The sequence below is a fragment of the Homo sapiens genome, chromosome 6, assembly GCF_000001405.40.
Source record: "Homo sapiens chromosome 6, GRCh38.p14 Primary Assembly".
NCBI classification, from domain to species: domain Eukaryota; kingdom Metazoa; phylum Chordata; class Mammalia; order Primates; family Hominidae; genus Homo; species Homo sapiens.
The window spans coordinates 30175315-30199535 of NC_000006.12; the positions used below are offsets into that span (position 1 = coordinate 30175315).

The window sequence follows — 24221 nt, forward strand, 5'->3', positions numbered from 1 at the left end:
AAAGAGATCCCACAAAATAATTGCTGGGCTGCTGGACTATGTGAGGAGCAGTCACACTGATGTGCCTCGGAGAACCAGAGGGGTTATTGTAAGGACCAAGGTGGGACCTATAAGGGAATCTCTCTGGAGCCCAGGAACCGTGATGACAGTGAGCTGGTTGTAATGGGAACTAGAGCCTAGGCAGATGCATTGTCTCTCTGGTCGGCTTACTTTGCTCTGGATGTGGGGCCCATTCTCCTGTCTATAAGGAAGCTTCCTAGCTCTACTCATGGCCTTTATTTTCTTTTTCATTTTCAGTTCTTTCCTTCTTTCAGACTTCCAGTGTAGAGTGTTGACTCAGTCATACCTCTCAGTTCTTGGAACACTATCATCATCAGTCCATGCAAGGTCTTCTGGTTTCATTTGTATTTTCTCCTCTCTCCCCAATTTTTATTCCCATTCTCCTCACTCCCAAAGGCAGCTACTCCCTAATGTTTTTCTTTTTTAAAAAATTTTTCAACTTTTAAGTTCAGGGGTACATGTGCAAGATGTGCAGGTTTGTTACATAGGTAAATGTGTGCCATAGTAGTCAGCTACACAGATCATCCTATCACCCAGGAATTAAGCCCAGCACCCATTAGCTATTCTTCCTGATCCTCTCCCTCCTCCCACCCCCGCCCTCCAACAGGGCCCAGTGTGTGTTGTTCCCCCCGCCTCCTGCCATGTGTCCATATGTTCTCATTATTTAGATCCTACTTATAAGTGAAAACATGCTGTATTTGGTTTTCTGTTCCTACTTTAGTTTGCTAAGGATAACAACCTCCAGTTCCATTCATGTCCCTGCAAAGGACATGATCTCATTCCTTTTTATGGCTGTAAAATATTCCATGGTATATGTGTACCACATTTTCTTTATCCAGTCTATCATTGATGGGCATTTAGTTTGATTTCATATCTTTGCTATTGTGAATACTACTGCAATGAACATACACATGCATGTATCTTTATAGAGAACGATTTCTATTCCTTTGGGTATATACCCAGTAAATGAGATTGCTGGGTTGAATGGTATTTCTGCCTCTAGGTTTTTGAGGAATTGCCACACAGTCTTCCACAATGGTTGAACTAATTTACACTCACACCAACAGTGTTAAAAGCATTCGTTTTTCTTCACAACCTTGCCAGCATCTGTTGCTTTTTGACTTTTTAGTAATAGCCATTTTGACTGGTGCGAGATAGTATCTCATTGTAGTTTTGATTTGATTTTCACCTATAACCATCTGATATTTGACAAACCTGACAAAAATGTCTCTAGTAGCAAGTATTACTAATCTATTAATTACTAAACTCCCTTTAATCCAAGAGTATTTGTTCTTTGTGCTCAGGATTTCTTTGGCTATTTGGGCTTTTTTTGGGAGGGGGGGGTTGGTCCATATGAATTTTAGGATTTTTTTTTCAAATTCTGTGAAGAATGATGTTGATATTTTGTTAGGGATTGCATTTAATCTGCAGATTACTTTGAACAATATGGTCATTTTAATGATGTTGATATTCCTTCTAATCCATGAGCATAAGGTGTTTTTCCATTTGTGTTGTTTTGAATTTCTCTCAACAGTATTTTGTAGTTTTCCTTGTAAAGATCTTTTGCCTCCTTGGTTAAATTCAATCCTAAATTGTTTTTGGTAGCAAAAATTTCTAAATGAGATTGCCTTCTTGATTTCTTTGTTGGCTAAATCATTACTGATGTAAAGAAATGCTACTGACTTTTGCATATTAATTTTGTAGCCTGAAACTGTACTGAACTCATTTATCATATCTAAGAGTTTTTTGGTGAAATCACACATTGTGTTTCTTTCTTTTGCCTGATCCTTATAGCTAGGATTTTAGTACTATGTTGAATAAGAGTATTGAGAGTAGACATCCTTGCCTTGTTCCAGTGCTTAGAGGAAAAGCTTTCCACTTTTCCTCATTCAGCATGTTAGCTATGGGTTTGTTACATACAGCTCATTTGAGTTTGAGGTTTGTTCCGTCTATGCCTAGTGTGTTGTATGTTTTTATCTTAAAAGAATGTTAAATTTTATCAAATGCTTTTTCTGCATCTATTAAGATGATCATATGGTTTTTGTTCTACATTCTATTGATAATATGTATCATGCTTATTTATTCATATTGAAACATCTTTGCATCTCTACTATAAATCCCACTTGATTTTGATGTAGTATTTTTCGATGTGCTGTTGGGTTTGGTTTGCTAGTATTTTGTTGAGGATTTTTGTATCTATCTATGATTTTGTATCTATGTTCATTAGGGATATTGACCTATAATTTTCTTTTTGTTGGTGTTGTGGTGTATCTGTCTGGTTTTAGTATTAGGGTGATGCTGACCTCATATAATTAGTTAGGGAAAATTCCTTCCTCTTTGACTTGTTTGAACAGTTTCAGGAGGATCGGTATTAGTTCTTTGTATGTTTAGTAGAATTCAGCTGTTAATCCCTCCAGTCCTAGGCTTTTCTTCTTTGAGAGACTTTTAATTACTGATTCAATCTTGCTATTAATTATTGGTCTGCTCAGGTTTTCTATTTTTTTCTGATTCAGTCTTGGTAGGTTGTGTGTTTCCAGGAATTTATCCACTTCCTCTAGATTTTCCAATTTTATCTAGTTGTTTATAACCGTCTCTGATGATCTTTAATATTTCTGTGATGTCAGTTGTAATGTCTCCTTTTTCAATTCTGATTTTGTTCATATGGGTCTTCTGTCTTCTTGGTTAGTCTAGCTAGTAGCTTATCAATTCTGTATATCTTTTCAAAGAACCAATTTTTCATCTCATTGATCCTTTGTATTTCTTTAAGTCTCTACTTTCTGCTCTGATCTTTATTATTTCTTTTCTTCTGCTAATTTGGGGTTTGGTTTGTTCTTGCTTTTCTAGCTCCTTCAGGTACATTGTTGGATGGTTAATTTGTAATCTTTCTACTTTTTTAATGTAAGCATTTATTGCTGTAAACTTTCCTCTTAGCACTGCCTTTGCTGAATCCCACAGGTTTTATGTTTCCATTTTCATTTGTTTTTAGATTTTTTTTTTAATTTTCATCTTAATTTCTTTTTTTTTTTTTTTTTCCAGATGGAGTTTTGCTCTTGTCTCCCAGGCTGGAGTTCAATGGTGTAAACTCGGCTAACTGCAACCTCCACCTCCCGGGTTCAAGCGGTTCTCCTGCCTCAGCCTCCCAAGTAGCTGAGATTACAGGCGCCTGCCACCACGCCCAGCTAATTTTTTTGTATTTTTCACAGAGACAGGGTTTCACCATGCTGGCCAGGCTGGTCTCGAACTTCTGACCTCAGGTGATCCATCCGCCTCAGCCACCCAAAGTGCTGGGATTACAGGTGTGAGCCACCATGCCTGGCCTTCTATCTTAATTTGTTCATTGACCCAGTGGTCATTCAGGACCATGTGGTTTAATATCTATGTATTTGTATAGTTTCCAAAGTTCCTCTTGGTATTGATTTCTCATTTTATTCTATTGCAGTCTGAGAAAATATTTGATATGATTTTAATTTTTAAAAATTTATTGAGACTTGTTTTGTCACCTAATATATGGTCTATGTTGGAGAAGGTTCCATGTTCTGATGAAAAGAATATATATTCTGCAGTTGTTGAATAGAATGTTCCGTAAATGTTAGGTTCATTTGGTCTAAAGTCCAGTTTAAATCCAATGTTTCTCTGTTGATTTTCTGTCTAGATAATCTGTCTAATGCTGAGCATGAGGTGCTAAAGTCCCCCACTATTATTGTATTCCAATCTGTCTCTCTCTTTAGAGCTAGTAATATTTGCTTTATGAATGTGGGTGCTCTGGTGTTTGGTGTATATATATTTAGAACTGTTGAATCTTCTTGCTGGATTGATCCCTTTATCATTATATAATGACATTTTTGGCTTTTTTTTTTCACAATTCTTGACTTAAAGTCTGTTGTATCTGATATAAGTATAGCTACTCCTTCTCACTTTTTGTCTCCATTTGTATGGAATATCTTTTTCCATCCCTTTACTTTGTCTATATTTGTCTTTACTGGTAAGAAACTTTACTGAGTTTCTTGAAACAGCTTACAGGTGTATTATCTTTTTAAATAAATCCAGCCATTCTACATCTTTCAAGTAAAGAATTTATTCCATTTACATTCAAGATTATTATTGATATATGAGACTTTGTTCCTGTCATATTGTTGTTTTCTGATTGTTTTATATATTCTTTGTTCCTTTCTTCTTGTTTGTCATTGTGGTTTGGTGGATTTCTGTAGAGGCACCATTTGAGTCCTTTCTCTTCTTCCTTTGTGTGATTGCTTTACTAGCGAGTTTTATACTTTTGTGTGTTTTTATGATGGTAAATATCATCCTATCACTTCCAGGTTTAGGACTCCCTTGAGCATTTCTCGTAGGACTGATCTAGTGGTAACAAATTCCCTCAGTATTTGCCTGTCTGGGAAAGACTTTATTTCTTTTTCCTTTATACTTTAATTTGGCTGGATCTAATATTCTTGGCTGACAGTTATTTTCTTTCATCATTTTGTATATACCATCCCATTATCTTTTGGCCTGTAGGGTTTCTGCAGAGAAATCCACTGTTTGTTAGTCTGATGAGTTTTCCTTTTAGGTGACTAGGCACTATTCTGTTGCTATTTTTAGAATTTGCTCTTTATTTTGACTTTAGACAGTCTAATTATAATGTGCTATGGAGAAGACCCTTTGCATTGCATCTGCCTGGGAAACATTGAGCCTCCTATACCTGCATGTCCAAATCCCTTGCTAGGCTTGGAAAGTTTTCATCTATTATTTCATTATATAGATTTTCTAATCCTTTCATTTCTTCATCATCCTCGGGGATACTAACAATTCATATATTCAGTTGCTTTATGCTGTCCCAAATATCATGAAGGCTTTGCTAATTTTTTTATCTAGGCAAAGTAAATTGAATTTTTTAAAATTATTTTTTCTTTATTTTTGTCTGACTAGGTTATTTCAAAAGAGCTGCCTTCAAGCTCTGAGACTCTTTCTTCTCCCCAATCTAGTTCTATTGTTGAAGCTTTCAAAGGTATTTTGTATTTCCTTTAATAAATTCTTCATATCCAGATTTTCTATTTTTCTTTTAAAAAACAATCTATTGCTTTATTAAATTTCTCATTCATATCCTACATTATTATCTTTTTTCTTTCTATTGTTTTTCAGAATTCTCTTATATATCACTGAGTTTCTTTTTTTTTTTTTTTTTTTTTTTTTTTTTTTTTTTTTTTTTGAGATGGAGTCTCACTCTGTCACCCAGGCTGCAGTGCAGTGGCACGATCTCAGCTCACTGCAAGCTCCGCCTCCCGGGTTCACGCCATTCTCCTGCCTCAGCCTCCCGAGTAGCTGGGACTACAGGCACCCACCACCACACCCAGCTAATTTTTTCTATTTTTAGTAGAGACGGGGTTTCACCGTGTTAGCCAGGATGGTCTCAATCTCCTGACGTCGTGATCCACCCACCTCGGCCTTCCAAAGTGCTGGGATTACAGGCATGAGCCACCGTGCCCAGCCTACTGAGTTTCTTTAAAATCAGTACTTTGAATTCTTTATCTAGAATTTCATGAATTTCTTTCTGATTGATAACTGTAGCTGGAGAGGTATTGTGTTCCTTTGTTGGTGTCATATTTCTTTGTTCTTTAGTTTTCTGTGTCCTTACATTGATATCTGCACATTTAGTTGCAACAGTCACTTCTTCCATTTTTGAAATTGCTTTCATAGGGGAGGATTTTTTTCCTGAAGATTTTACGTGTTGTTTGTTGAGTAGGGTGCTTTGGCTTTGATTTTGAGTGCCTATAGTAGTGTGATCCCTGTATGATTTATTTGGCAGTATACAACATCAGTGGTATCTGTGACTTCCTCATTGACTTAAGGTGCACTTATTAGTGAAGGCTGTGGTGAAGTTTGGCTGGGAACTAAGATGCTAGGTGGGCCAGTCTTCAGGCCCTAGTGATGGCAGCGGTGGGTTGAATGAGCCTGTGCTAGGGCCCACAGAGTGGCTTAAACTGACAACAGCGTTAGTGGGTCTTGGAGGGCCAATTATTGGGCCTTCAGGTGACTTGCTCAGATGCTAGCAGTGGCAGCAGTGGGCCAGACATGTGGGCAACTTCTCAGGCTCCTGGGCAGCTGGTGTGAAATGGGTAATGGCAGTAGCAGTGGTGGAACAACCTGCTAGGACCCAAGCAGTCTGTGCTGGTGTTGGTGGTGGCTGTGACAAGTTGGGCAGGCTAGTACCCTGACCCACTGGTAGCATGTGTGGGTGGGTGTCAGTTGTGGTGGTATTGGTAGATTGAGTTGGACTGACCTCAGATCCTGACAGGAATGATTCAGATGCCAGTGGTGGTAGATTGGGCTGGGCAATTTCCGGGCCCCTGGATGATGTGCTTGTGTACTGGGGGGATGGGATCAGGCCAGCAGACCTGTCCTCAGGGCCCCCTGCAATGCATTCAGGTGCTAGCTGTGATAGACAAGAGATGGAGAGGTCCCCAGACCACTGGCAGAATGCTCAGGTGTGGGCTGGCTGTGGTGGCTGCACTGTAGTCCTGCAACCAGGGAAGGCAGGGCCACTCTCAGCTGGCGCATCATGAGCAAGTAGCTGTGGGAAGTGTCATCTGCTCACACCTTTGTCCACACCAGCCCATAGCAGCAGTGGTGGGATTTGTCCTAGGAACGTGCGGAAGTGCCCCGTCTCTACTCTCCCTCCTCAACTTAGCCTTGGCTTGGCGGCAGCAGCCCCAGCCAGGCCCAGGGGCAGAATGCAGACCCGGGTGGTTGAGCTCTCAGAATAATGACTACAGGTTTGCCACCGGGAGGGCAGGACCCCTCTCAGGTGGAAGAGCAAGGACAAGTAGCCACAGGGAGTGCAGTCTTCTCAAGCCCTGGTCTCACAGCAGCCTGTAGCAGTGGCGATGGGATTTGTCCAGGGGGGTGCATGGGAGTGCTCAGTCTCCCATCTCTTTTTTGCCAGGTGGCAGCAGTAGCAGCAGCAACAGCAGCGCCACATCAGTCCGGCCTCAGGTCAAGACTTATGTGATAGGCATTATTCTGGGTACTTGGGATGCATCAGTTTTTAAAAAGTTTCTTTTTAAAGCTCATGCCTGTAATCCCAGCACTTTGAGAGGCCAAAATAGGTGGATCACCTGAGGTCAGGAGTTCATGAACAGCCTGGTCAATATGGCAAAACCCCGTCTCTTCTAAAAACACAAAAAAATTAGCCAGACATGGTGGTGTGCGCCTGTAGTCCCAGGTACTTGGGAGGCTGAGGCAAGAGAATCGCTTGAACCTGGGCAGCGGAGGTTGCCAGTAAGCCAAGATCATGCCACCGCACTCCAGCCTGGGCAACAGAGCGAGACTCCGTCTCTATTAAAAAAAAAAGAGAAAATCTATGGCTCTTTCTGTTCTCCCATAACCATACTCTAAATGCACTCTTTCTGTACCCAGTTTGTCCCTGCTTTAGGACTTTGCTGTTCCCTCTAGCTGATGTGATCTTAGACCTTCCCTCTCACCATTCTGATTTCAGCTCTCATGCCATCTTTTCAGGGAACTCCCTTCTGATCACACATTATAAAATAGATACTAGGTCACTATCTATCACAGACTTATTTCACTTCCTTGCATAGTGCTAATTACTTTTTTTTTTTCAATTTTAACATACTGCCTGTCACCATTTGCTGGAATATAACCTCCAAGAGTGCAGAACTTTGTTAACCTTATCACTGTTGTAACCTAGAAACATCCTGGCACATCACGGGTACTTAATAAATGAATTCAGGAGACATATGAAGCCTGGAGATAACAGATTTGAGAGAATACAGAAAATAGGAGGAAAAGTCAACAAGAAATAATTCAGGCAGGGCACAGTGGCTCACGCCTGTAATTCCAGTACTTTGGGAGGCTGAGGTGGGAGGATCACTTGAGCCCCAGAGCTCAAGGCCACAGTAAGCTACGAGTGCACCATCACTAGAGCCTAGGTGACAGAGTAAGACCATGTCTCTAAAATAATAAAAATTCAGCCAGTTGTGGTGGCTCACACCTGTAATCCCAGCAAGGCAAACACAAAATAGTTTGCTGAAAGGTATGAACTGGGTCTTTGGAGGGAGGTATGGGGCAGGGAAATGTTCCTATTTGTAAGAAGCACTGTAGAAAGTTTACCATATGTGCAAGTAGAGTTATACAAAATGAAAAACTATGAATATAAAAAATAAAAAGGGAAAATTTACATGAGCCCACAACTTAGAGAACAGAGAGGAAATATGCTCTTTGCCACTAGCGTAATTTTACAGGTAGTTTCGTATAATCCTCCCTTTTCCATCTTTAAGATGGCAATTTAAAAAATCAGAAAGGACTGCTGGGCGCGATGGCTCACGCCTGTAATCCCAGCACTTTGGGAGGCCGAGGTGGGTGGATCATGAGGTCAGGAGATCAAGACCAACCTGGCTAACATGGTGAAACCCCGTCTCTACTAAAAATACAAAAAAATTAGCCGGGCGTGATGGCGGGCGCCTGTAGTTCCAGCTACTCGGGAGGCTGAGGCAGGAGAATGGCGTGAACCCGGGAGGCAGAGCTTGCAGTGAGCCGAGATGGCGCCACTGCACTCCAAACTGGGAGACAGAGTGAGACTCCATCTCAAAAAAAAAAAAAAAAAAAAAAAAAAAAAAAAAAAAAAAAAAAAAAATCAGAAAGGACAAGAAAAACAGTTGACTGTGTTAGGATGCAAGGCTGAATCTCTGCACATTCTATTTCCTCTGAGGCAGTGCTTATTTTCCAAGGAAGAATTTTTGGGTGTGCTATACTGGAGGTCTCCCTTCTCAGGGAGAGTCATCACTTGCTCCAAAACGCTGGACCTCAGCTCAAGGGCACCACTGCAGGAGGAATAAAAAGGTGGAGCCACGCAACAACTCGTCTGTGTTCCGCAGTAGGCTCTTTTTGAGGGACTTCCAGAAATGACAGCATGTGTGCAGAGAACAGAAAGCAAAGTTACACTGTTACAGAAGGCACAGAAGGAAAACCTTCGGCTACTGCTATCAGTGGAATTTCTCTGTAGCCAGACTGAGGTCTGGTGGCATTTGAGATATAATATAGATATAGACCTACAAATACAGATCTCCAGGCTGTTCATTCAACAAGTCTTTATTGAGCACCTACTCTGTGCCCAGCACTGCACTAGGTGCCATGAGAATACAAGAGTAGTATAAGATGTTATCCGCCCTCCAGGAGCTTACAAAACTAGAGGCAGAAATAAGATGTACATGTGACTCAGGCAGCATGTGACACACACAAAGTGGGCAGCTCTGAGACAATGGTGGTCAAGTGACCACTGAGGCCCAGAGCCGTTGGAACAGTCTCTTAGAACAGGGTGGAGGACTTAAAACTTGGATGAACAGGGGCTGGCAGAGCACTTGGAATGGGTAAGGACAAGACTGGGAGATCAATTTGGCTGGAGCAGGGGAGCTTGTGTTAAACTGTGATGATGAGGGGCACCTGGACAGAGGTTGGGTCCGTGGGCAATGAGAAGACATGTTACTCCCTCTCTTGACATGAAGACCTGGTGGGCTTGTGGCCTCCTGCTGCCTTCCTTTCCCTGTCTTCCCATCTCCACTCTCTCCTAGGAAAGTGGAACCTGGATGCTGGTAGGGCCAGAGACAGAGGCTTAACACCCTGCTGGGGAACCCGGTCAGAACTCCCGAGGCAGGAGAGGTTCTGCTCCACTGGATGTTTGTCTTGGTGTTTTTGGATGTGCTGATCAAGAGCAAGATGTTCTGGATTCTTAAAACTCCCCTCACAAGGACCAATCTAGAGATAATTTATTGATCAGTGATCACAGCTTGTACCCCAAAGCCGTGTATGTCTGGATCCTTCCCTAAGACCACAGATAGCTCCAGGGAGTCCCACCTCCTTGGCTATGGAAATATGCTCAGCCCTGGTTTCAGAGAAGCCTGGACTCCACTCTGGACCCCATGAGATGATATGCGCTGGTACTCCAGGCTTTAAATGGCCTGGGAAGCCTCAGTGGATTTTGTTTATTTTCAGCATTGCCATGTATGCTTAACTCTGAGTTGGGGTGGGGTAGGTCTGTTTAAAATGCCAGGGAAGGTGGGCAGCAGAGTGGATTTGTGCAAGAAGGAACCTGGGGGGTTTAAGGACAGCAAAATGATCTTAGGCGTAATTGACTGGTTTTTCTGAGGTCTTGCCACACTGGGCAAGAAAATGCTGCATCGGGCCCTTATTCCAGAGAGTGCAGAGCTGGGGCCAAGGTCGTGGTCAAAAAGGAAAGGAGCCCTCATGGACTCCAGGGTCAGAAGTTCCCTCGGGAAACCAGCAGGAGGTGGGAAAAGAGCCCCATTAGGGCAGTAGATGGAGCAACAGCACTGAGTGAGATTTCAGGGGGCCACAGCAATGGGGAGGTGGCTACCAGTGGATATGGGGTCCCCTGCTCCAGGTGCTTAGGCCAGGCATCCCGTCCCCCCATTGAGAGTCCTGGAATTCCAAAGAAGTGAAGCATCTGAGGGTTGGGGCTGGGGGCAGATGTCAGGGCTCAGGGTCTTAGCAGGAGGCGTGTTCCTGGCCACTTGAGCCACAGGAAGGGGACCAGGCGCCGGGTGAAGGTGGCAGTGAAGGTGTAGATGAGTTCCTGTGACTCTGCGTTGGTGAAAGTCACGGTGCCCCCTTCATAATCCAGGGCGATGCCCACTCTCCGGGGCCGCAGTGCTGGGAAAAGCTCAGCCTCGGGGCTGGTGTTGGCCCAGATGCCGGAGGAGGAGAGGCGCAGCGCCCACACGCCATCCTCTGGCCGCAGGGAGAGGTCTCCCTTCCTCTTCACAGAGTCTCTAGCCACCCCCACCATGCAGCTTTCCAGAACTTCCTCCTCTTCCTCCTCCTCTTCTTCCTCTTCATCGCCCAACGATTCCTCATCTTCGTCCGTTTCCCAGTCGTCATATCCATCCCCATAGCCGGCCTCCTCTTCCTCCTCCTCCTCTTCTCCCTCTTCCTCCTCATCCCCCTCTTCTTCATCCTCAGACCAGCCCTCCCTCTCCACTTCCACTTCCCAGTAGACCTTGCCCCAGGTGAAGCCCTTGCTGCCTAGCACCCCAGGCTCACAGTCAAACTGCTGGGGGTGCAGGTAGGCACTCTTGTACAGGCTGGTGTAGGTCACGCACTTCCAGTCCTCTGACAGCTGCAGGTACCCACTGGCCGACTGTGGGTCCAGGGTGACGCTCACTGTGGGGACAAGGGAAAAAAAAAAAAACAGCATCACTGTTTTGTTTTGTTTTTTAAGTCAGAGGGAATAAAATTTATTTTGGCAGATAGCGTTAAACAAAATTAAAGTTGCATACATTAGTAATATAACTCAACATCCTTAATTTGGTATAAGTGTGACACATTTTCTGGCTTTGTATTCTGCTAAATCACCATAACTAAACTGCTTTATAAACATGATATACTGAAATTTAACTTGACTGTTTTCGCTTACGCTCTGATTCCAAACAAAACTTTTCATAAGCTTCCTCTATCTCTGGATCTCTGGGTCCAACTCATCATTAATATCATCCAAGTGTGGATCACCAGTCCCTGAAAAATCTGTTCCATTTTCTTCATAATCCAGAAAAAAAGTCCTCTTTTTCAAGTAACTCTTGATATGCTTCTTGGTAATCCGGATCAGCTGCAGTGAAAGGAACACTATGAAACACAATAACTATGTGAATGACCACTATAAAATGTTGGTTCATTCACATAGTAATTGGGATCTTTTTTGGCTGTTGTATTTCTGTATGATGAAGTTGCATGGACTCTACCCCAATTACTGCACTGGGGTTCTACAAGCTTCAAGAGCATCTGTTTCATGTCTCTGCCACAGCTTGCATCTATAACAACATTTTCAATTTCCTGAATAATTTCTTCCATATCAGTCCTTCCTTTTCCTTCCAAGAATCTTCCAAAACTGACCCTGTCAACTTCAGCAATTTTATTGCACAAATTAAGCTGTCATCCACGGGATTAGAAAAGAGGGCATTCAGGCATTCGGCAACTCCTGAAGACCAACCTGAAGAATATCTGCCCTTGTAACCTGTCCATTTGTTCCTCTGATCTCCAGGTTATGATAAAGCTCTCCCAGAAAGGGTACAAATGCATGAAATTGTTTTGGAGTAACTTCATCCCCTTTTGCAGCTTGATCTTTAATGTCATATTCAGTCCGACATCTTTGAAGTAGAAATTGGCGGAAGGTGCTACTCTCTGTGCTAACTGTCAGATGATGTCAGGTAATTACACAGGTGAGCTCCCATGTAAGAGAAATTTGGGGCTGGGCACGGTGGCTCACGCCTATAATCCCAGCACTTTGGAAGGCCGAGGCGGGTGGATCACAAGGTCAGGAGATCGAGACCATCCTGGCTAACATGGTGAAACCCCATCTCTACTAAAAATACAAAAATTAGCCGGGCATGGTGGTGGGCACCTGTAGTCCCAGCTACTTAGGAGGCTGAGGCAGGAGAATGGCGTGAACCTGGGAGGCGGGGCTCGCAGTGAGCTGAGATCACACCACTACACTCCAGCCTGGAAGACAAAGCAAGACTCCATCTCAAAAAAAAAAAAAAAAAAAAGGCCGGGCGCGGTGGCTCACGCCTGTAATCCCAGCACTTTGGGAGGCCGAGGCGGGTGGATCACGAGGTCAGGAGATCGAGACCATCCTGGCTAACACGGTGAAACCCCGTCTCTACTAAAAATACAAAAAATTAGCCGGGCGAGGTGGCGGGCGCCTGTAGTCCTAGCTACTCGGGAGGCTGAGGCAGGAGAATGGCGTGAACCCCAGGAGGCGGAGCCTGCAGTGAGCCGAGATTGCGCCACTGCACTCCAGCCTGGGCGACAGCGAGACTCCGTCTCAAAAAAAAAAAAAAAAAAAAAAAAAGAAATTTGGGACAGATGTGGCCTCTGAGTTCCACAAGTTCTTGCAAAGCATCATCTGTTGTAACACAAGCATTCAGGGTCTCTGTAAACTGTTCAATTTCAGTTTCAAAACTACCAGCCTGCTCTGTAAGATGGTTCAAGAAACCCTGAACAGGTACTGACAGAGTGGGATAATCCTCACCATCATCCTCATAGGATTCTCTATAATTAGAATAACCTGATAGGTAAAATTTGACGGTATTCACAGACAGCTCAGACATTAATAAAGAAGCTACAACCACCTAAGGTTTAACCACTGCTAACTCAGTTCTGCTATGGGATTTTATCCTGTGAACTAGATGAAGCTCTCAGGGCCTCGTTTGCTCCCAGACAGGCCGACCTCCTCAATGGTTCTCACGAAAGCAAGTGTGAAAGTGAGCCAGGAGGAGACCACCAGTCTTCACAATCCAAGGGGCACCATTCACATCTTGGTCTATGTGGATGGCGCTCCTTGGTGGTTGGTATGCAGTGTACAACCTAACTGCAGGGCTGAGAGGGGGCACAATAGTGGGGCCTGTGGTGGATATGGCCTCTGGTCTTAGGTTGCCCCTGCTGTTTGCTCTGAATATAGGAGCCATGCAGCCAGGAAGATGAGAGAAAGCTCGGCCACAGGAAAAGGACTGGTGGTAGGACCTGTGAGGATAGGAAAAAGAAAAGCAAACACAGGGCAGAGAAGGATCAGACTAGCAAGCAGAGGCCTCTACTGCAGACTAAAGAGTAGGCTGATTAGAAAGTGCAAAGAGGGAGGGGGGCTTCTATTGTGCAGCTGGGAAATTCTTCCTGTTGCAAAAGGGGCTACCTGGGGGAAAAGTGAGCAGTCAGAATCTCTGCAGGCGGAGTTTTCTATATTTGATGTACATCTGGGAAACACCCTCTAGACACTCACCTGTCTTATATTCCAAGTCTCTCAGCAGCTTCCCTGGGGAGAAAAAAGGACAGCAATGACTCAAGTCCCGAAAATTTATGAGCCCATTTCTTGCTCGGGCAGTATCAATTTCCTGATAGGGATCCATGTCTAAGACAAGAGGCCCTCAGAAGAGTGAGGATCGACAAGGTGATGGAAAGGAGCTGGGTGCGCTCTTTCTACGAGGTAGCCCTGCTCTGACTCCCACCCTTTGTGCGCTCCCCAACCCTTACCCTGGAATTCCCTCAGGCCTCGTTGCAGAGAGAGGAGTTTATCTGAGAATTCTCCGGTCTTTTTTTTAACCACTCGAGCAATGGGTTTCCCAACCCAGAACTTCTTCCGTGGATACCTAAGAAGATGACATACATAACAAGCTGTTACTCAGCTCTTCTTACTTTCCTTCATACTTATCTCTCAATCCTCATGGCAATTATGAAGGGGAGAGGAAAGGTATGATTATCCCCAAACAAGTGACAGAAAAACAGTGGCCCAAAGACACCAGCTGAACCAGGGCTTCAGAACATCAGTAGACTCCACATCCAGGGCGCTCTGTCTACTAAGCCATGTTTCTAACCTCTCTGCTCTGTCCCACCTCAAATAAGGCCAGTGGGCCAAGGAGCTGGGGCTACACAGAGAACCATAAGGAGGAGAGCAAGTCTCCAGTTCTCAATGATGTGTCCTGCTCCTCAGAAGGGCATCAGGATGAACCATGGGATGTGAGTACCTCTGGCACCATACCACTCCCCATGAATTCAAATGCACCTGGTCAGAAGCGGGGGAACATAAACAAGGGGGATGAGGTACGCCATGGAGAGGAGACTCTTTTACCTGTTTAGGAAGTCTCTCGTGTCCTAGAAGGGAAAGAAAAAAGCACAAGTATCAATATGAATCAAATAAGACTTCAATGCATCTGCACCCAACACTGTAGCAGAGATGGGACATATCAGTGAACAAAACAAATGTGGTCCCTTTTTTATGGAGCTGACATTCCAGTGGGGTCACTGCATAAAACAACAAGAAAACAAACAAAATCGGCACAATGACAGAAGCCACAATGGCTGGGAGATGACATGGGCAACCTCTCTGGGAGATACCTGCGCAGAGAATTGACGGATAAGAAGTACTGGCCGGATGAAGAGAGGTAAGGTAAAACAGGAAAGGGCTTGGTGAGAACGGCAGAGGCCAGACTGCGCAGGGCTGGATATGCATGGTAAGGAGTTTCACTTTTGCTCCACGTACAGTGGAAACCCACCAAGGGTTTCAAGTAGGGGCATGATATGTGTGATCCGCTCTACATGTGGCTGAGACTGCTGTGTAACCTCCAGAGTCCACTCTCCCCTTCCTCCTTTTAATAATAGAACCCCCGGAGTTATTGCTGGTCAGGCGGCCACCTGGGAAGACTACATTTTCCAGATCCCCTACGACAAGGTCTGGTCATGAGACTAAGTTCCAGCCAATGGAATGTGATAGAAAGCAATGACCATAATTCTGGGCATTGTCCTTTAAAAAAAGAAAATTGCTTTCTACTTCCTTTTTACCCCAACTGAATTTTGGACATGGTGGTGGTGAGCCCAACTTTGACCACGCAGCAGAGGACAACATCCCTAGAAGCTGGTGGAAGAACCACATGGAAGTAACCCAGTCCCTTGGATAAGCTTATGTACAGCTACTGTGATAGCTCTAGACCCTGCACCTCTGAACTGTTAACTGAGGCAGAAATAAACTTCTATTCTGTTTGCGTCACTGTACAGCAGTGAGCCAAAACCCTAAGTGACCACTCACTTGGCTGCCCCACAGAGAAGGGACTAAGGAGGCAAGAGGAACATGGGGAGGTTGGTCCGGAGGCTTTTGCCGTGGACCAGGGGAGAGCTAAAGATGGCCTGAACTAAGGTGGTGGCAGTAGGGAGAAAAAGAGAGAAGCAATACATTCCAGGTATTTTAGAGACAGATTCAACTGGACATACTGGTCAAGGATAAACAAGAACAGAGCATGGTTTGTACAGGGGGGAGAATGGTGGTGCTATCTCTGTGACAGACAGGTGGTAGGGCAGGGTGAGTGGGAAGAGGGCTATTCTGACATGCTCAGATTCCCTTTTGTGAGTCAAAAGCCTCCTTAATACCCTGTATTAATTGATTTTTGCCTTCCTTTCACTCATTCCACAAATATTTATTAAGTGCTTCCTAGGTACCAGGCACTCATCTAGAAGCCTCAGAACAGTTAAAAAAAAAAAAAAAAAAAGAGAGAGAGAGACAAATCCCTACTTCTGTAGAGCTGACATTCTAGCAGGGGGAAGCAGACAATAATCAATGTAGCAAATACATCATACTACGTGAGTGATACGCACCACGGGAAAAGAGAGCAGAGTGAAGGGGGATGGGAGCAGGGGCCGGTGGGGTGCAGGCTGGCTTCCTGGAGAGGGTGAGATTTGGGAAACAAATGGAATTAACAAATTGTGGCTGCTGATGACTGCTTCCAAAAGTTTGGGAAGAGTTGTGAGCTTTACTCCAGAGGAATAAGACAAGAAGTCAGAGGCACATCCCAACCCCCCGCTATGAAGCAAGTGCCCAGAGACTGGTAGCACATTTCTGGCCAAGTCCTCTAACATGCCCCTCAAAACATGTAAGTCCAAGGCGGCTTCAGAGGACAGGCAACAAAACAGACAGTGTGTCCTGACAGCTCTGCTGACAAAGGTGGCATAAAAGAGCAAATGAATGGAGCAGTAGCTGGAGTGTGGGCCAGAGGCCCATTTGGGCATATTTCCTGACATGGAAGTTCCTAGAACAGTAGAAAGGGAGAGAATCATACAGGAGAAAGAAGAGTCCTCTAAAGGTTAAAGGTTGTGAGCAGCCCAGAGAGGGTGGGTCCCGAGAGCCAGGGCAGGGCTGGCCCTGAGGAGAAGAGGCTGAAAGACTCAGGAGCCCCCATCCACAGCCACATACAGGGCCTCTGGAGGGAAGTGATCCGCCCAAGTCTCCTGGAGGACTCTTCTCACCCAAGACATCTGAAGCTGTCATGAAACAGGCAGAGCCGAGCAGTGGGGCTGCGGCAATGAGTCATGGCAAGCTCCCGGAGGGGATGTGCCCGGTTACTAAGAGAGAGCATCAAGAAAGTTCTTCACGGGGGTGTACAGCAGGAGAAGCAGGGTACAAGCATGCCACCTGATCCTGCAGGGCCTGCCCGGGTTACCAGGGCAGGATGCAGTGTCTCTCTGGGCCTCTCCTGTCACCCCAATCCCTTTAATGTCTTCTTGATGCTCCCAGCCCATAGGTTTGTCTTTCCTTTCCTATCACCTCTATCAAAAGGTCTCTTCTATTTTACACATTTTGTCCTGCTGCTTCTCCCTCTCACCTGTATTTCTATTTTATTTTAATTTTTTTGAGACAGGATCTCACTATGTTGCCCAGGCTGGTCTCAAACTCCTGGGTTCAAGCAATCTGCCTGCCTCAGCCTCCCAAAGTGCTGGAATTATAGGTGTGAATCACCACACCAGCCTCACCTGTATTTCTCTATCAGACTTCTGGACCCTATTTTAGGTCTTTTTCTTACTATACTTTGACAGCCAAATAATCTCTGGGAAAATATTAATGCTAATTAGGGAGGTAGCTGTCCAGTTCCCACGCAGTACAATCAAACTCAAATAAGCACACAGACAAAATCTACCAATACCATTTTTCTGCGTATGGTTGGTTACCCAGTTTTCCTAGCACCATTTATTAAAGAGACTGTCCCTTCCCCATTGTATGTTCTTGGTTCCTTTGTTGAAAATCAGTTGGCTGTAAATATGTGAATTTATTTCTGAGTTCTCTACTCTGTTCCATTGGTCTATGTGTCTGCTTTTATATCAATACATGCTGTTTTGGTTACTACAGCTTTGTAGTATATATATATATATGTATATATACATATATATGTATCTATATACATATATATGTGTATATATATATACATATATGTGTGTGTGTGTGTGTGTGTGTGTGTATATATATATATATATATATTTTTTTTTTTTTTTTTTTAATGGAGTCTCACTCTATTGCCCAGGCTGGAATGCAGTGGCACAATCTCGGCTCACTGCAACCTCTGCCTCCTGGATTCAAGTGATTCTCCTGCCTCAGCCTCCCGAGTAGCTGGGATTATAGGTGCGCACCATCACGCCCAGCTAATTTTTGTATTTTTAGTAGAGATGGGGTTTCACCATGTTGGTCAGGCTGGTCTCAAACTCCTGACCTCGTGATCCGCCTGTCTCGGCCTCACAAAGTGCTGGGATTACAGGTGTGAGCCACCACAACTGGCTGTAGTATATTTTGAAGTAAGATAGTGTGAGGCCTCCAGTTTTGTTCTTTTTGCTTAGGATTGCTTTGGCCATTTGGGGTTTTTTGTGACTCCATATGAATTTTAGTTTTTTTTCTATTTTTCTGAAGAATGTCATTCGTATTTTGATAACAGGGATTGTATTAAATCTGTAGACTGCTTTGGGTAGGACAGTCATTTTAACAATATTAATTCTAATCCACAAGCATGGAATATTTTTCCATTTGTTTGTGTCCTCTTCAATTTCTTTCATCAGTGTTTTGTAGTTTTCATTAAAGAGGTCTTTCACCTCCTTGGTTAACTTCATTCCCAGGTATTTTATTTTACTTTTGTAGCTATTGTAAATGGGGTTGCTTTCTTGATGTCTTTTTTAGCTAGTTTGTTATTGGTGTATTAAAAATGCAGTAGACTTTTTATGTTGATTTTGTATCCTGCAACTTTACTGAATTTGTTTATTAGTTCTAAGGGTTTTTTGGTGGGGCCTTTAGGTTTTTCTACATATAAGTATAGCCGTTACGGAAAACAGTATGAGAGTTTCTCAAAAAACTAAAAATAGAACTACCATATGATCCAGCAATCTCATTACTAGGTATTTATCCAAAGAAAAGAAAATCAGTATATCAAAGGGATACCTGCACACTCATGTTTATTGTGGCACTATTCACAATAGTTGAGATGTGGACTCAATCTAAGCATCCATCAACAGATAGATAAAGAAAATGTAGCATATATACACAATGGAGTACTATTCATCCATAATAAATTTGAGTTCATGGAAGTAAGACAGTAGAATAGTAATGATTAGAGGTTGGGAAGGGGGCTGGGGAGAGGAGGGTGGGGAGAAGTTGGTTAACAGATACAAAGTTATAGCTACATGGGAAGAATAAATTCTAGTGTTGTGCAGCATTGCAGGGAGAATATAATTAACTATAATTTACTATACATTTTCAAAAAGCTAGAAGAGAGGATTTTGAATGTTCCAACACAAAGAAATGATAAGTGTTTGAGGTGACAGATATACTAATTACTCTGAGTTGATTATTATATATTATATACTTGTATCAAAGTATCACTCTAGGCCAGGCACAGTGGCTCACGCCTGTAATCCCAGCACTGTGGGAGGCTGAGGCAGGCGATCACCTGAGGTCAGGAGTTCAAGACCAGCCTGGCCAACATGGTGAAACCCTGACTCTACCAAAAATACAGAAAATAGCCAGGTGTGGTGATGTGCGCCTGTAATCCCAGCTATTTGGGAGGCTGAGGCAGGAGAATCGCTTGAACCCAGGAGACAGAGGTTGCAGAGGCAGGAGAATTGCTTCAACCCAGGAGGCGGAGATTACAGTGAGCTGAGATCACGCCACTGCACTCCAGCCTGGGAGACAGAGCGAGACTCTGTCTCAAAAATAAACAAACAAAAACCTCTACATCCCATAAATATATACATTATATAGCACTAAAATTAAAAGAGAAAACACAAAACAAAAAAAGAAACCTACCAGTACCAATAACATTTCCTATACTAGTTTCAAGCTGACACCATTTTCTCTCCCTTCCCTTGACCTTATCCCACCCCAGGGAGAGCTGCAATCTGAGTGCTCTGAGTCATTGAGGGCCAGGCTTCTGCTCTGAGGGCCACTTCTCTGGGTGCATTAGGAAAAGGCACCCCTCCGGGCAAACACAATGGATTTCAGCCCCACCACATCCTCAGCTGTGTGCCTCTGTTCCACACAGTAGGCATTCACACATGGCAGGGGCGTGAGGAGAGGAAGGAGAAGAGAAACGGGCAAAAGGAGATGCAGAAAATGACCCAGTCAAAGAGTATGACGAGAGAAATCTGAGAGAACAGAATGACATCTGGAGGAAAAGAGGGGGCCAGAGAGACATTCTGGACAAAATAAGAACAAGAGCTCAGAGCCCAGGAGTCAGGACATCTGGGCTCAAGCTGTGACCTGACACCCACCCCATGGCCTGGGACAAACTCCTCCCACTCTCTGGACCTCAGTGACTTCATCAGTAGGGGCTGAACTGGAAGGTCTAAAATCCCTGCCAGTCCTCATTCTGTACATCTGAATTCACAACAATGAGGAGCAGGTGGCCGCCTCCTTCTGCAGTCTGTCCCAGTGCACATACTGCAGAGTCTGCCTTGCTATCTCTCCCTCCTAGCTATTGCCCTGCCATTAGCCTGGGACTCCACCTTCCTAGAGATCCTGGGTGGCTCTGCTGCTGACAGACAGACCCAGCCACCCTAAACAGTGCAAGTGGGGGAATACCATCAGAGAGCCCCTCCCCTCCCAGCCTATGAGAGCAGGAAGGTTGAGCCCTCTACCCCTCCAAAGGGGACTGGGCCCTCTTCAGGGTAAGTGTGATCCCCAGAGGCTCCCGGGGGGGAGGAGATGTGGTGCCATTTCAGCTTCACAGCCAGTTCTTCAGCCCCAAACCCTCCCTTTCTCACTATCAAAGCCCCCTCCTCTAGGAGGTGCCCCGAGGCCCCCTTGTCTGCTTTCCATCTTGTTCTCTGTGTGGTAATCCCATGGGCCAAAGAAAACCTGGCCATCTCTGTCTCCCTTCCCCAGTTACCCTATCTCTTCCAGATCCTCTGGGTCTTTGAGAGGAGCTGCTGGTCAGCCCTCCCTCAGCCACCCCCAACCACAACACCATAAAAAGCTTCCACCAGCTGCTAAGTGTCTGCCAATGACTTGTTAAGAGGGCTTGTGATGGCAGTGATGAGGATGGAGGATGGTAAATGATATTAATAATCTTCCCTTCCATTTTCTACTATACCATTTAGTTTTTTGAACAGTTTTGTGTAAAAAGTTTATTTTTTGAAGTGACAGCATGCCAGTTATTTCATTTTATGCTCATGCAATCTACAGACTAATTGGCAGCAGTAAGGATTATCATCTCCATGTTTCAGATGACAAAACTGAGCCCCCAAGTCTTCTAAGGTCCTGCAAGTGAATGGCAGGGCTGGGACCCACCGTCCTGGTCCCTGGCGCCCTGCCCAGGGACGGCCTCTCACCTGCATGAGCTCTGCAGCTGGCTGCTGCGCCTTGCCCTCCAGTTCGGAGATGACCAGGGCCAGCCGGGCAAGCTCCCCGACGCCCCGGCTCTTGAACTTCTCCCTGCCCTCCGTGAGCTCCTGCTCCAGCTTCGCCAGCTGTTCCAGCAGGTGTTCCTCCCGCTCCCTCAGGAACTGATGACCCTGCTCAAACTCAGCCACAATGTACTGCCTCTGGTCCTGGAGCTTCTTCTGCAGGGGGCAGGAAGGGGAGAAGGGCTGACACCTCTGCTCAGGGTGGAGGGCCCAGTGCTGGAGGTGTGCAAGGCTGGCTCGTTCACCTCGCTACCCCCGTTCAGGAATTCTACAGGATCTGGAGTGGGAGGAGCTACAGAGGGTTCCTGGTCCACACTCCGCTTCTCAAAGAAGACTCCAGTAATGAATTAGTTCAGTTCACCCCACCACTATATGGTCAAAACCCTGTCTCCACCTGACTGGTCAGCCACAATCTGTTCTAGCTAAACCAGTACGCTCTGGGGCCCCTAGAGAAACTCTGTGGGTCTCACTCATGAGCCGACGCACTTTTCCCTCCTGGACAAAATCTGTCACCTCTTCCAGGAAGTTTTGCTTGATTAATGTCATCTAAGCCTGACCAGCCCTCTCTTCAGCACCCCACTGTTCAGTCTAAAATATCTATATGTACCCCACCCCTGCCATGTAAGACTGCATCCTGTTTCCTCAGCAAAATTGTGTGACGTCTGTGCTTAGGGACTATGTCCTTTCCTGCCTCCAAATCTCCTCCCCAGCTGGGGTTGGGGGAGTCCTCAGTGGCCCTGTTGACTGGTGCTGAGCTGGGGGCAGCCATGCACACTGAGGGCCTGGAGGGGTCCTTGGACTTGGCTGTCTCTAGCTTACTGTTTCCCTCTCCCTAGGCCTAATGACTCACCACTGGCCCTGACCCCACTACTCCTCCACTGCCCACTTCCTCAACATACACAGTTCCCCAGAAAATCAGAACCATTTGATCAGTTCCCCCCAACCCCATCTCTAATCAAGTACATAATGTGCTGCCTGTTTTCTAACTACAGTTGTCCCTTGGTATCAGTGGGTGATGGGTTCCAGGATCTCCCTCCCCAAGGATACCAAAATCCAAGGATGCTCAAGTTCTTATGTAAAATGGAATAATAGTTACATAAAATCTACTATATACTTTAAATTATCACTAGATTACTTATAATGCCTAATATAATGTAAATGCTATATAAATAGCTGTTACACTGAATTGTTTAGAGAATAATGACAAGAAAAAAAATCTGTACATGTTCAGTAGAGACGCTTTTTCTTTTTTCTGAATATTTCTGATCCATGGTTGGGTAAATTCGCCGCTACGGAACCCACAGATATGGAGGAGGTCCCACTGTACTGGCAACCATGATCCTGGGCCTGGACCTCACTACATACAGTGCCATCAGAATTGGCAGACCTGCCTTAGCTGTTTTCTAGCCCTTCCCTCTCAGTTCTTACCCTGGAGCCAGCTCCCTCCTTCTAAACCCTCTCCACTCTCAGGCAACCTTGTCTCTCTCTCTCTCTTTGAAAGGAAGAATGAAGCCACACCTTCTTCAGTCCCCTGGCAGAAGAGAACCAGCAGCTGGACATGGGCCCTGCCTTCAAGGTGACAGTCACAGAAAACGGAAGGGACTCTAGCTGACATCCAGGCAGCCCACTTGTCTCTCAGACAAGAAACAGGCCCAAGACTACACGGCTCAGAAAGACAGCACTTGGGCTAAAACCCAGGTCTGCTACTGCCAGGCTGACACCCATCCTCCCTGTGAGCAGCGCCTAGAAACACCTCCCAGCTGCCGCCTACTTGCCCAGGCTCACCCTGCCCTACACGGGCGCACCGCCTCAGGGCTTCCTGAAACAGCCTCACTTACCAGCGCGGCCAGGATATCAGCTTCTCCCTTTGCCTGGAAGCCCTGAATTTTGTCTCTGTCCCTCCTTAGGGTACTCAGGTGGTTCAGGATTTTTTCCTGTGGAAAAACAAGCAGTGGCAACAGGTGGATGCTCTGGGCTGGGGCAGGAAGGGAGACTCAGGCTGAGTCCTCTGAGGACTGCAAGGTGGAGCATCCAGAGAAGGTGGCAAGGCACCCTCGGGGGTGAAGAGGGCTTACCCTGTGGGGCTGGGCGGCCTTCTCCATGAGGACGGCCGTGTGGGGCCTGTGCTCCCGGGACTCCCGGCACATCACGCACAGCAGCTTCCCGTCGTCCTCACAGTAGTAGTGCAGCTTCTCTCGGTGTCGCTCGCACAACTTTGCATCCTGCTGCTCCCGGGTCACCTCTCCCGGCTGCCTGCCCTTGTCCACCTTCAGCCGCTCAATGTTCTCCACCAGGCTGGCCAGTTGCCACACGGGTCGGATGTTCTCCTTCTTAAAAGGCTTCTTGCAGAGTGGGCAGACGGGGCGGCTCCCTGAGATGGGGCGGACGTCTGTGGTGCAGCTGCGGCAGAAGACGTGGCCACAGTCAATGGTCACAGGGTCCCGCAGGTAATCAAGACAGATGGAGCAGGTCACCTCCTCTTCCAGGCTCCGTAGTGGGGCTGACGTGGCCATGGTATCCTTAGTTCAGAGAGGTCTCCGTTCACTGGTGAGGACTTCTTCTCCTTGGAGACGCGACATAGAGTCAGGAGCAAGCACAGTAAAGGGGCAAAGGTGGCAGCCTGCACAGGGCTGCCAGCTCCAGCACTCAGTCAATCGACAGACACCACCAGCTCCTACAAGGTTCACACAATGTCAACGAGAAGAGGACCTTATAGATCTAGTCCAACTTCCTCATTGTACAGATAAGGATATGGAAACCCAGAAAGATTAGCTTGGTAGAGTGAAGAGCAGGACAGCCACTAGCCTATACCTTGCTGTTGGGAGAGCCTCAACACCCTTTCCTTCTATCTGTTGGAAAATCGCTGTAATGCACCAACTGTAATAAAAAATCTCTCACTACCTGCTGGGAAACTCATAATGATACACATATAAATCTACAATGTC

General features: G+C 45.5%; 1 protein-coding gene and 1 pseudogene across 13 annotated transcripts in view, besides 1 other annotated feature; both read right to left on the reverse strand.

Annotated features, from left to right (window-relative positions):
- Positions 1-9140: 9140 nt before the first annotated feature.
- TRIM26 (tripartite motif containing 26) overlaps positions 9141-24221 on the reverse strand; it is a 28952-nt gene continuing 13871 nt past the window's right edge. For 5 of the 13 annotated variants that reach the window (XM_005249378.3, XM_005249377.3, NM_001242783.2 and 2 more), the window contains 7 exons: positions 23352-23839; positions 23115-23210; positions 21202-21432; positions 14699-14721; positions 14104-14219; positions 13853-13885; positions 9141-11244 (listed from right to left, as the gene is read on the reverse strand). In XM_005249378.3, coding sequence (XP_005249435.1) covers positions 10562-11244; positions 13853-13885; positions 14104-14219; positions 14699-14721; positions 21202-21432; positions 23115-23210; positions 23352-23789 — 1620 coding nt within the window. In that variant the 5' untranslated portion in view covers positions 23790-23839 and the 3' untranslated portion in view covers positions 9141-10561. Of the gene's footprint in view, positions 11245-13852; positions 13886-14103; positions 14220-14698; positions 14722-21201; positions 21433-23114; positions 23211-23351; positions 23951-24221 lie in introns of all 13 variants that reach the window. The other 8 variants (XM_047419310.1, XM_047419309.1, XM_017011263.2 and 5 more) reach the window with 2 other exon arrangements.
- PAIP1P1 (PAIP1 pseudogene 1) lies at positions 11296-13329 on the reverse strand (annotated as a pseudogene).
- Positions 19664-19864: a silencer, noted in NCBI's record as "peak5749 fragment used in MPRA reporter construct". NCBI's record gives its function as "represses an SCP1 promoter by STARR-seq MPRAs in K562 erythroleukemia cells {active_cell/tissue: K562}" and the evidence as "EXISTENCE:reporter gene assay evidence [ECO:0000049][PMID:32103011]".